Source organism: Homo sapiens, chromosome 4, assembly GCF_000001405.40.
Source record: "Homo sapiens chromosome 4, GRCh38.p14 Primary Assembly".
In the NCBI taxonomy this organism is placed as follows: domain Eukaryota; kingdom Metazoa; phylum Chordata; class Mammalia; order Primates; family Hominidae; genus Homo; species Homo sapiens.
The window spans coordinates 187,928,881-187,941,226 of record NC_000004.12 but is presented as its reverse complement, the minus strand read 5'-3'; the positions used below and the strand labels follow the sequence as shown (position 1 = coordinate 187,941,226).

The 12,346-nt window shown below is 44.2% G+C and overlaps 1 long non-coding RNA gene across 1 annotated transcript, besides 1 other annotated feature; it reads right to left on the bottom strand.

The window, feature by feature from the left end:
* Window positions 1-8,831: 8,831 nt before the first annotated feature.
* On the bottom strand, window positions 8,832-9,994 carry LOC124900880 (uncharacterized). Its single transcript, XR_007058511.1, has 2 exons — window positions 9,953-9,994; window positions 8,832-9,055 (listed from the first exon to the last, which is right to left on the bottom strand). It is a non-coding gene; the product is annotated as an uncharacterized LOC124900880 (long non-coding RNA).
* Window positions 11,555-12,055: an enhancer, noted in NCBI's record as "H3K4me1 hESC enhancer chr4:188850326-188850826 (GRCh37/hg19 assembly coordinates)". NCBI's record gives its function as "activates a minimal SCP1, AML or CMV promoter by ChIP-STARR-seq in naive H9 embryonic stem cells {active_cell/tissue: H9 hESC(naive)}" and the evidence as "EXISTENCE:reporter gene assay evidence [ECO:0000049][PMID:30033119]".

The following is a 12,346-nucleotide window of genomic DNA, read 5'->3' as shown; positions in this document are numbered from 1 at the left end:
AGAACCTGAGATGCTAATATAGACTAAAACAAAATCAGCTGCTATTTAAAACACAACCCCCAAAGTCACACATATCTAAATATGCATCTATTTTTTACAATAAAAATTATAACTTAGAGGCCGGGCGCGGTGGCTCACGCCTGTAATCCCAGCACTTTGGGAGGCCGAGGCGGGCGGATCACGAGGTCAGGAGATCGAGACCATCCTGGCTAACACGGTGAAACCCCGTCTCTACTAAAAATACAAAAATTAGCCGGGCGTGGTGGCGCGTGCCTGTAGTCCCAGCTACTCGGGAGGCTGAGGCAGGAGAATGGCGTGAACCTGGGAGGCGGAGCTTGCAGTGAGCCGAGATCGCGCCCCTGCACTCCAGCCTGGACGACAGCGAGACTCCGTCTCAAAAAAATATATATATAACTTAGAGGTGAAAGAAACCTCAGAAAATCATTGTCTACCCTTTGCCTTTTGGTGGTTTGGTGGTGGTAGTACTTCCTTTGTGGCTGTGAATGAGGAGGGGGTAAGAAGGGAATAAATGAGAAGCTTGAATTTTTTTCATTGTTGTTGCACAGCTTCATCATTAGTACTGGCTATAAGAAAGTCTTTCATCATAGAAATAAATGCGGAAAAACGCTTTTTAGGAATCTTGCCCTTCACCTATGACCGCTTGTATTAGTCACTTTGTGCTGTAACCGAAACCCTCTGTTGATTTCTTCTTCACACTGCACGCGGCTGCTAGGCAGCTGAATCTCTGCTGGGCTCTGCGTGTTTTCTCATGTCAGGGTTCACACTGAAGAAGAAACCTCTGTTGTGACTGAGGCGGAGAGACACACTTACACACACACACACACACACATACACACACACATACATACCCACACATACACACACACACACACACACACACACAGAGGGGAAGCAGTAAGCATGTAATCACATTTAACCCAGATAGAAACAATTACCCATTTACAACACTATTATTAACTGTTTGGTATGTAGTCCCTCAGACATTTTCTAAAGCATGTCAAATATTTAATATGTCTTCAAAAAATAGAATCACACTTTATGTTTTGCTGTATGCTTTTGCTATCTAATAGTATATCTTGGAAATTTTTACAAACGAAAGCATTCATCCTATTTGCTTTTCTGTGTTTCCTGAAAAATTCACATCTTGCTTCTAAAATATATTGATTTTATTCCAGTTTTACATGAATCTTGATACATTTACCATTCCCCATTGTTTGAGTTCTGAGTGAAGGGTGAACAGATCCTGCATCAGATGACCTAAACTGTTGCTTATCTCTCCATCTCTCTCTCCCTCTCTCTCTCTTTTTTTTTTTTCTTGAGACAGAGTCTCACTCTGTCATCCAGGCTGGAGTTGAGCGGTGCGATCTCAGCTCGTGACAACCTCTGCCTCCCAGGCTCAAGCGATTCTCCTGCCTCAGCCTCCCGAGTAGCTGGGATTACAGGCGCGTGCCATCATGCTCAGCTAATTTTTTGTATTTTTAGTTGAGACGGGGTTTCACCATGTTGGCCAGGCTGGTCTCAAACTCCTGACCTCAAACGATCCACCGGCCTCGGCCTCCCAATCTCCCTCTCCCTGTTATGCATATGCACACACACGTTGACTATCACATTCCTAGAGTATAGCTCAGATTTTCTAAACCTTTTATAACCCCTTTCCTTCTCAAGTGTCTTCTTGAAAGCACATTTAGTGACTTATTGTGGAGGCAAGTTTCATGCTTAAGTTTTTTTGACTCTGACGATAGCTCTCAAAAATCATTCCAGATAGAGTGACCGTAATTTATGAAACTAGGACATTTCTAAGAGTAAAAGGAGATTGACATTAATTATTAATGCTTACACTGGGCCATCCTGAGCAAATCAAGTTATTCATTCAGTCTACTTCTGGAGGATATTTGCAGATGGCAGTCTATTTTTTCACCCCAAATTTCCTTGCTACTTCCCCCGTAGTATTTTGTTTCCTATAGGAAATAATTTAAAAAGAAGAATTTTCTCTATTTTGTTAAAAGGCCCTCAAAGTACACGTCGGATTGGAATCATGAATATCTATCAATCAACTCTTTCATAGTCCATTTCTGCAGAGTGGATCTTCTCTGACCTATTCCATGCTATATCTTTTGGTTCAATTTAGTATCTATACTTCATTACACACTTGAATAGCTATTTAATCTTGCACAAACACCCATATGGTGAGGTTTGAAACCTGGCACAAGAGATAAAGGCAAATAATTACTATCCTCACTTAACATTTTATCTTCTTGCCATTTAAAACCTTTTTGTAGAAGTGCTGATAATCTGGATGATTAAATGGCTTAGGTCCTTCTGATAGATTTTTATGGCCTGGACTCAACAAAAACTTAGGTTTTAAAAGTTCAGTTGCAATTTTATCTGAAACCTGAAGATAGTTTCTTATACCTGCAAAAAATGAACTCATATGAAATGAAAAATATGAAGTGATGTTGTAGACTGAGCACGTTATTACAGACTCTGCTCACACAATGGAAGTGCTAAGAGGAAACATGAACTATTTTTTTAAAAATGGCTGAGAATGCCACAATCATGCCTCCTTATTTGCTTCCTGTAATACAATTATTTTACTGACATATGTTCAAAATGTCCTCTTTAACAATCATTTTGGAATACTGTTTAAAGCATATCAGAAGTAGAGTGGAAAGTGTATTAAACATGGAGGAAGGGATCTGTGTCACAATCCAGATTCCGATATTGATTAGCTCTGTGATCTTGAAAATAAAAATCACCTTGCTGAAGTCTGCATGCCTCTTTGTGTATGCGAGTAATCCTCAAAACAGGCAAGCTGCAGTGGCTCATGCCTGGAACCCCAGCACCTTGAAAGGCCGAGGTGGGAGGATCACTTAAGGCCAGGAGTTTGGACCACACAGCCTGGGCAGCATAGTGAGACCATCCCTACAAAAAATAAAATAAAATCTTGGCCAGGCGTGGTGGTGCCTGCCTGTAGTCCTAGCTAGTGGGGAGGCGGAGGCAAGAGGATCGCTTGAGCCCAGAAGTTCAAGGCTACAGTGAGCTGCGATGACACCACTGCACTGCAGTGTGGACGACAGAGCGAGACTCCGTCTCTAAAAGCAAAAGGAAACAAGTCATATGAGGTAAGAATTAGTCCTAATGCAGGGGGTTTGGTGACTGACAAGCTGGCCCACTCGCGGCGGCTTTCCCCTCCCTACCGCAGTCCTAGAGGCCTCCAGGACTGGAGGGAGATGAATGTGTGGGACTCAGAACAGCCACGGAAATCCCAGGGGCAGATGACGTTTCGGCTCTGGGTAAGCGGCAGCACTCAATGGAAGAGGGCGGCACAGAGAGAAGAGAGCGGAGGACAGGTGCCAGGGCAGGAAGCAGCAGCAGGCGCGTGGGGGCCGTGTGGCGCGGGGGCGTGTGGCGCGGGGGCGTGTGGCGTGTGTTGGCCGTGTGGCACGGGGGTTGTGTGGCACGGGGGTTGTGTGGCACAGGGGGGTGTGGCACGGGGGGTGTGGCGCGGCAGGTGCGCTGAGAACGCTGGCCTGGGCAAGTGGAGAGGCAGGGCTGAGGCTGCCACCTTAATGTTCTCTGCTTCCCGGCAGGGGCTCTGCCTCTGCCTGTCCCAGTCCTTCATCCTCAGAGGCCTTGGAGGTGACAACTGCGAACCGTGGAGGACGGAGAACACTGAACTAAATCGTGCGCTTCTCATGTTGGGTTACGCACACGACTTTTGTTCCAGTGGTATAGGAAGTAGCCACTTCGCAGAAAGAATGGGGAGGTTATGAGTATGCTGGCAGCAAATTATTTAATTTTCTTAGAAACAAGGTTGCATAAATGCACGTACATAAACGTCTAAGTGCACATTTAGTAGGTAAAAGCATAGAAAAAGGCTGGCAAGTATGTTCCAAACTGCTAACTTTTAATAACCTCGGGGGAGGGGATATGGCAGACTTGCCTGTTTTCCTTCAGAAATTTTTCTATTAGTCGCCTTTGTCAAGCTTAGCATGTGCTATTGCAGTTTTTTTTTTTTTTAAGCATAGGATTTAAAAATTCCATTTTAGGCCAGGCAAGGTGGCTAATGCCTGTAATCACACTTTGAGAGGCTGAGCGGGGAGGGAGGATCGCTTGGGGCCAGGAGTTCCAGGCTGCAGTGTCATGATCGCCACTGCACTCCAATCTGGGTGACAGATTGGAGACCCTGTCTCTAAAAACAAAATTTTAAAAATATAAATTTCTTTTTTTGCAACAACTGTATTGAAATAGAATTCACACATCATACAATTTACCCATATAAAGTGTACAATTCAATGATTTTTAGTCTATTCAGAGCCGTGCAATCACCACCACATTCAATTTTAGAGCATTTTCATCACCCCAAAAAGAAACCTATTCTCTTTGTTCATCACCTCTGTATTTCCCTGTTCTTTCTGGCTCTAGGCAACCACTAATCTACTATCTGTCTATAGATTTACCTATTCCGGACATTTCACGTGAATGGAATCATAAAATATACAGTCCTTTGTGACTGACTTATTTCACTTACCGTTTCCAAGGTTCATCCAGGTTGAAGCATTCGTTTTCATAGCCAAATCATATTCCATCATGTGAATACATCACATTTTGTTTATCCATTAGTCAGTTGATAGATATTTGGGTTGTTTCCGCTTTTGGCTATTATAATAATGTTGCTATGAGCATTTGTATACAAGTTTTTGTGTGGACATGGGTTTTCATTTTTCTTGGGTAGATACCTAGGAGTGGAATTTCTGGGTCATATGGTAAGTCTATATTTCACCATTTGGGGAATTGCTAGACTGTTTTCCAAAGCAGCTGCAGAATTTTACATTCCCACCTGCAATGTATGAGAAGAGTCCAACCTCCCCACATCCTTGCCAACACTTGTTATTATCTGTCTTTTTTATTATAGCTATACTAGTGGTTATAAAGTGGTATCTTATTATGGTTTTTATTTTTATTTTCCTGATAACTAACGATTCCATTTTAACTGAACTAGGATATGATATGCAGTAGAATGAACAATTTACATGAATTTTTGAGATTAAATGTGAAACATTCACTCAGCATGGTGGCTCACACTTGTAAACCCAGCACTTTGGGAGACTGAGGTGGAAGGATCACTTGAGGCCAGGAGTTCAAGACCAGCCTGAGCAACATAGCAAGACCCCCATCTCTACTAAAAAATGAAAAAATTAGCCAGACATGGTAGTGCATGCCTGTAGTCCTAGCTACTTGAGAGACTGAGGCAGGATGCTTGCTTGAATCCAGGAATTTGAGGTGCAGTGAGCTATGATAACACCACTGTACTCCAGCCTGGGGTACTGTGTCTCAAAAACAACAACAACAAAAGAGACAGCAAAAACATGTTTTGTTTGAGACAGGATGCTTGGGCCGTCACCCCACATTGACTAGGGGTATACATTTGCTTTTCTTCACCACTGGGGTTATTACAGCAAAACAGTATGAGACCTACTAAGTACATGAACACCAATGTCAATATCCTACATAACTCAAAGTATTTATTTTTCTGTTTGTGCTAAGGAAATACTTTGTTCAGCCTCTTCCCTCAGATGCCGGCAGACCAGATGTCCTTGAAGCAGGCAGCAAGGCTTCGTGCAACGCTGACGGCCTCTCAGCTTGTCCCTGGACACTCTTCTCAGAACTCTGGTTACAGTTTACCTCTGCTTCTCTAATGACACTTAATCACTTTTTATCTTAAATTACGGTGTGGTTTTGTTTCCGTTTTGTGTTTCTGATCATGCTTAATGGCTCATTAGAGAGTCTGGCTCTTGGAGCTTGAAGGCAGGCGGGCCCCACATTTGTGTGTGTTTGTTTTCATGTTTGTTCCCTCCACAGCACCTGGCTGTGCATGCTCAGTGAACAAATGACTGCAATGTGCAGTGATCTATTTACAGTTGTCTGAGAAATGTCATTTATGGTGGTGGATAATCCTAAAATATATATGAAAATATATGGTGCCATGATCAAATTTTCCTCCTAAAATAACCTGTGCAAGGTGTTCATACTTTTATACCAACACTGACATTTTCATTCTTTAGAACCTTAACATTTTATGTCTGTGACTTTAATAAACATGAACATGAAAACGTGGAAGAGGCTGTTTGTATCTCCTGCTAGCAAGAAGCAGAAAGAACATATTTATGTGCTATATTCAGGATATCCTTGCCAGTTGTGTTATTACTGCAGGGAAAAGGCCCTGGCGACATTTAATGTTGCTTTTTCTTTTTCCTGGTTGGATGGCAACCAGGTTTCATCCATCACGCTAGAAACTTCTGTGCAAATTCAATGCACAGTCTCCTAGACCTGAAGAAGGCAGCTTGATGTTTCTTCTTCTTTTTTTTTTTATAAATGCATTTGGTTTTCTTGTGTTTTCAGCTTCTCCTTTTGCTCTTCCTTTGGTGTTTCCTGATGCAACTCCCTGTCTCCGGTGGCGTAGTCTGAGACATGTTCAGTATTAGCAGAAAGATCACTGACCTTCACACTCTCCTCACGCTTAGATTGCACAGTGGTCAAATGGATCCTTCGTGAGAGCTCCAGTCTTAAACACGTCACATAATCAGAAGGTATTTTTGACAGTCACACTCCTCTAGGATGCTTTAAGCGTTGCAGCGTATCTCCTTTCCTTGATTTAAATGATTTATTCACCAGCTTCAGTTTTGTAGGTTCTTACTAGAAAATGCACAGCAGGCCTCTTGTTTTAGGAAAATTACTGTGTCTTTGCCATTGAAATGGGAGCTACTGAGTTTTAAACATACTTTCCCCAGCCTAAGTAAATTCCCTTGGATTTATTCCCACAATAATGTAGGAGTGTTCCTTATCATTTTTGTTTGGGATAATCCTAACCCAAATTTGAATTCAACCTTGACAACTGAATTCTGGATGCTGAACCCTGCAATTTGGGAAAGTAATTCTATCTCTTGCGTCAAAATCCTGTTTAGGCCTTTTCAGCATCATTATCAAACTTACCTGCTTCCGTCTTTCCTGTTTTTGGCCCCTTTCTTACTTCAGAACGTCATTTTCCTTGTGTCACTCTTTTTGGGGGTAGTTTGCATTTTCTATTCATTATCCTCAAGCTAGTTCACCTGCAGCCTCTGGGCTTTGTGTCTGCCAGATCCATTTGTCTGAACACCCAGAAGTGCACGTTCTTTTGCGAGCTTCTTGAATTTATCTAACTTTGGGCCCTTCCATCATCCTCTCTATCACAAACATCAAATGAGAGTGGACATCTTCATCTGCTCTTATATTAATGCCAGGAAATTTTGCTGTAATTTGTTTAGCCCTCTTCAAATATTTATTTTTATTTTTACTTTTTTTGAGACAGAGTCTCGCTCTGTCACCCAGGCTGGAGTGCAATGGCACGATCTCGGCTCACTGCAAGCTCCGCCTCCCGAGTTCAAGTGACTCTCATGCCTCAGCCTCTGGCATAGCTGGGATTACAGGCGCACGCCACCAGGCCCAGATAATTTTTGTATTTTTAGTAGAGACAGGGTTTTGCCATGTTGGTCAGGCTGGTCTCAAACTCCTGACTCAGGTGATCTGCCCTACTCGGCCTCCCAAAGTGCTGGGATTACAGGCGTGAGCCACCACACTCAGCCTTCCCTACTCGGCCTCCCACAGTGGTAGGATTACAGGCGTGAGCCACCACACTCAGCCTTCCCTACTCGGCCTCCCACAGTGGTAGGATTACAGGCGTGAGCCACCGCACTCAGCCTTAAAATACATTTTCATTTCTGTGTTACACTTCAACATTTTCTTGAGCCTCTTCTAGTAGTAAACAGAAACTAAACATTCTTTCTTACATCCCTCTTCCAGTGTCTTAGTTATAATCTCTGGTATTTTAAGGTAATATTTCTACTTGGTTAATAAACAATGTCACAAAGCACAAGTAATGGCAATAGGAGGATTTGTTTTTATTTTCTTATCTTCTTCCATTTCCAACAGGGCTTTACCCACTCATTTTACAACAGTCTTCTAGCAGTCACTCTTTTTGCTTCTCTGATTCTCTGAGGCACATCTTTTTCACCTTTTCCAAATGCATCTCACTGAGCCTGAGAGGGGATTTGCATGGATTGCTTCCGTCTCTCTGGGCCAACTCCTGTTAAGTGTGGACCGCCAGGGTGAGTGCTCAGAAGTGAAGACATCGCCTGCCCTAGCACGTCCCAAGGGCATGTTTACCTCCTGCTGGTCGCCTTCCTAGGGTTGTCAGATTTAGCAAATAAAAACATAGGATGCCCAGTTATATTTGAATTTCAGATAGACAACACCTTTTTTTTTTTGTCTTGAGACAGAGTCTCACTCTGTCACCCAGGCTGGAGTGCAGTGGTGCGATCTTGGCTCACTGCAACCTCTGCCTCCTGAGTTCAAGCGATTCCCTGCCTCAGCCTCCGGAGTAGCTGGGACTACAGGCACCTGTCACCCCGCCCGGATAATTTTTGTATTTTTAGTAGAGATGGGGGTTTCATCATGTTGGCCAGGCTGGTCTCGAACTCCTGACCTTGAACAACACCTTTTTTTTTTAAGTATAAGTATGTTCCAGTATTATATAATATGATTTCCTAAAATTGAACTGTAACTGGGCAGGCTGTGTTTAATTTTGTAAATTACCCCTTTATCTCTTGTCCCTGTGACTTGAGATCCAGCTTTGTGGGCATCACAGCAATGGCTCTGGGGTATGATTAAGATGGATCTGCACAACTTCTGCCCAGATGAGCAAGTGTAGTTTAGCTGTCTCTGACGATGGATTAGTTTCCTAGGACCATTGTCACAAAGTATCACAAAGTAGGTGGCTTAGAGCAACAGCAATTTATTATCTCACAGTTATGGAGGTGCCAGAAGTCCAAGATCAAGGAGTCAGCAGGGCCATGTTCCCTCTGAGGATCCTGGGGCAGGATCTCTTCCAAGCCTCTCTCCTGGCCTCTGGTAGTGGCTTGGCTGGAGGCAGCATAACTGCAGTCCTTGCAGGGAGTCTCTCTGTGTATGTGTCTGTCTCTTCACATGCCTTCTCTTTCTAAATAAGGATTCAAGTTACTATATTGGATTAAGGGCCCACCCCTACACACCAGTATGAGCTTGTCTTAACTAACTACATCTGCGATGACCCTATTTCCAAATAAGGTCACATTCTAAGGTGCCAGGGGTTAGGACTTCAACATACCTTTTTTCAGGGACATAAATCAACTCACAACATATTAGGAGACACTTTAAAAGACTCCATTTCACTATTATTTACACTGAGATAAGACAGCAGCCCAGGGACCTAAGAAATCCCTGTAAGTTAACTATTTAAGCAAATAGGAACATTTTTATGTAGAATAAAAATTCATTCTTGAAACTTGGAAGAACTTCATTAGTCAACAGCAGGATATTGCAACTATACAAAAGTGTAGAACGCAAAAGTTTGGTGATATGAGAAATATTCATATTATAGTAAGTGAATAAAGCTTATATGATTATAGTAATTATTTAATGAAAGTATTTTCTGGCATCTCAGTTATGTGCTGAGTGTTCAAGCACTCAATCTGCACACACGAGCTTACAGTCTGTAAGAAAAGACAAAAATAGATAATTATTCCAATTATTAATTTGTTTATAACCGTAACTATAATTGATGTGGTAAAGAAACATAGGGTATTATAAAAACATAGGTACTTGGAAGGATTCGCAGTGAAAGAATCTCAGGTATTTTATAAGAAAATGAAAACCAGAGCTATTTGCATTTGGGAAAAATACATTAATAGGCGTGAATTAGGCCGGGTGCGGTGGCTCACACCTGTAATCCCAGCCCTTTGGGAGGCCAAGGCGGGTGGATCACCTGAGGTCAGAAGCTTGAGACCAGCCTGGCCAATGTGGTGAAACCCCGTCTCTACTGAAAGTACAAAAATTAGCCAGGCGTGGTGGTGCATACCTGTAATCCCAGCTACTGGAGAGGCTGAGACAGGAGAATCACTTGAACCTGGGAGGCGGAGGTTGCAGTGAGCCGAGATCGCACCATTGCACTCCAGCTGGGGAGACAAGAGTGAGACTCCATCTCAAAAAAGAAAAAAAAATAGGCGTAAATTTATTTAAGTAAAAAGTGAATAGTGGATATAAGCTGCTTCACAAACTTTTTGCGGACAATATATTCACTTAAAAAATTCCCAATTAATTACTTACACATCCCTGACTTTCAGTGACTCCCCATGGCCCTTAGCATCAACTCTAAACTCCAGGCTATGACTTGTGAGTTCTCCCTTTCTAGTTCTTGTCTCTCTTCAACCTCATCTCCTGTCACAGTCCTTCCACTCTGTCATAGCTTGCTATTCTCCAACTACCCCAGTCTTCTTGTGGTTCCTCAAATATGCCAAGCTCGTTCCAGCCTCAGGGCCTTGCACCCACTGTTTCCTTTATGTAGAAAGCTGTATGCTCAGATCTGGACAGGGCAACACCTCTGCTCATCATCTGAGAGGGCATCTGTGACAACTAAGACAGCCCTTCATGCCAAACCCGCTCTCTTTCTATTGTATTTTTTATTGGTTTTATAGCAGTTGCAGTGTCAGAACTGATCACATTTTAAAAATCTGGGTTTTTTTTGGTTTGTTTTTGTTTTTTAAATTCTCTGTCTTTCCCCATTTTAATGGTGGCATTGTGACAGCTAGTGCTGGGAATGTAATTAGATGGGGGAACACATTTTCCAAAAGGCTCACCTACTCTACAAATGCACGGTATTTTGCTGATGTGATGTTTGTTTTAAGACTTTTTTTTTTTTTTTTTTTGAGACGGAGTCTCACTCTGTCACCCAGGCTGGAGTGCAGTGGCGTGATCTTGGCTCACTGCAAGCTCCGCCTCCCGGGTTCAAGCGATTCTCCTGCCTCAGCCTCCCGAGTAGTTGTGACTACAGGCACGCGGCATGTTTTAAGACTTTGATGAAAGTGGGAGGATCTTGGCAGACGGGAGGCAGGACTAGATTGCAGCTTCCACTCAGACAGACAGAGCAGCATGTGGAGCCTTGCACTGTGAACACTTGCTCCAGAGCGACTGCAGGAACAAATCAGGAAAGCCGACAGAACCCATAGACCCTCTGAGGGAAGTGGATTGCTCCTGCAGGAGCCGGGAGATACCTCAAATACTGTGAGTGCCCAAACTGCGGAAGTGGGAAAGCAGGATTGTCTGCCCCCAAATACACACCTTCACTGGGAACCCTGAAGGTCTAGATCACGGAAGAAGATTCTGACCTTACCTGGAGCTGAGTCAATTTAGAGAGCCAAGTGAAATACAGGGGTAGAGGAAGCAGCAGGAAGAGCCCTATGGGCTCGCTCGATGGGTCCCGTAGCAAGCCATTTCTGCCCTGCCTCACGGGGGCCTTGAGGAGGGCTGCCAGAGGCACTGGGAGAAGGCCACAGGGAGAAGGAAACCTCCAGCTGAACTTTGTAACAATTTGAGCTGATGGAGAAGTCTCCTGGCCAGAACCCGGGGGAGGGCGCGAGTCAGACTCCACAGTAGGGGAAGCATGAAAGCCCTACTTGCTTTCACAGCTGGGAGGTGGGGAGCCTGGGGCGAGTTCTCAGCCCTGTCACCCACTGCCTGGAAACAGATTTGGTGCTGTTGCGGGGGCATGGTGGGAGTGAGATTGGCCCTTTGGGTTGCATGGGAGCTGGATGAGGCCTGTGACTGTGGCTTTCCCCCACTTCTCTGATAAGCTGCATGACACAGCAGAGGCAGCCATAATCCTCCTAGTAACATCACTCCATTAACCTGGGAATCTCACCCCCATCCCCTACAGCAGCCACAGCAAGACGCACCCACAGAGAGTCTGAGCTCAGACATGCCTAGCCGTGTCCCCACCTAATGGCCCTCCCTACCCACCCGGGTAGCTGAAGACAAAGGGCATATCCTCTTGGGAGTTCCAGGGCCCTGACCACCACCTGTTCCTCCCTATACTTCCACAGCTGATGTGCTCTTGAAAACGCCACCTCCTGGCAGGAGCCCAAACAGCACAAAAATCGTGCATTAAACAACCAAAGATAAGGACCCTCACAGAGTCCATTTCACCCTCCTGCCACCTCCACCAGAGCAGATGCTGGTATGCACGGCTGGGAGACTTACAGATGGTTCACATCACAGGACTCTGCAGACAACCCAGAGCCGGGTAGACTTGCTGGGTGGCTAGACCCAGAAGGGAGATAACAATCACTACAGCTTGGCTCCCAGAAAGCCACATCCCTAGGAAAAGGGGGAGAGTACTACATCAAGGGAACACCCCGTGGGACAAAAGACTCTGAACAACAGCCTTCAGCTCTAGACCTTCCCTCTTGACAGAGCC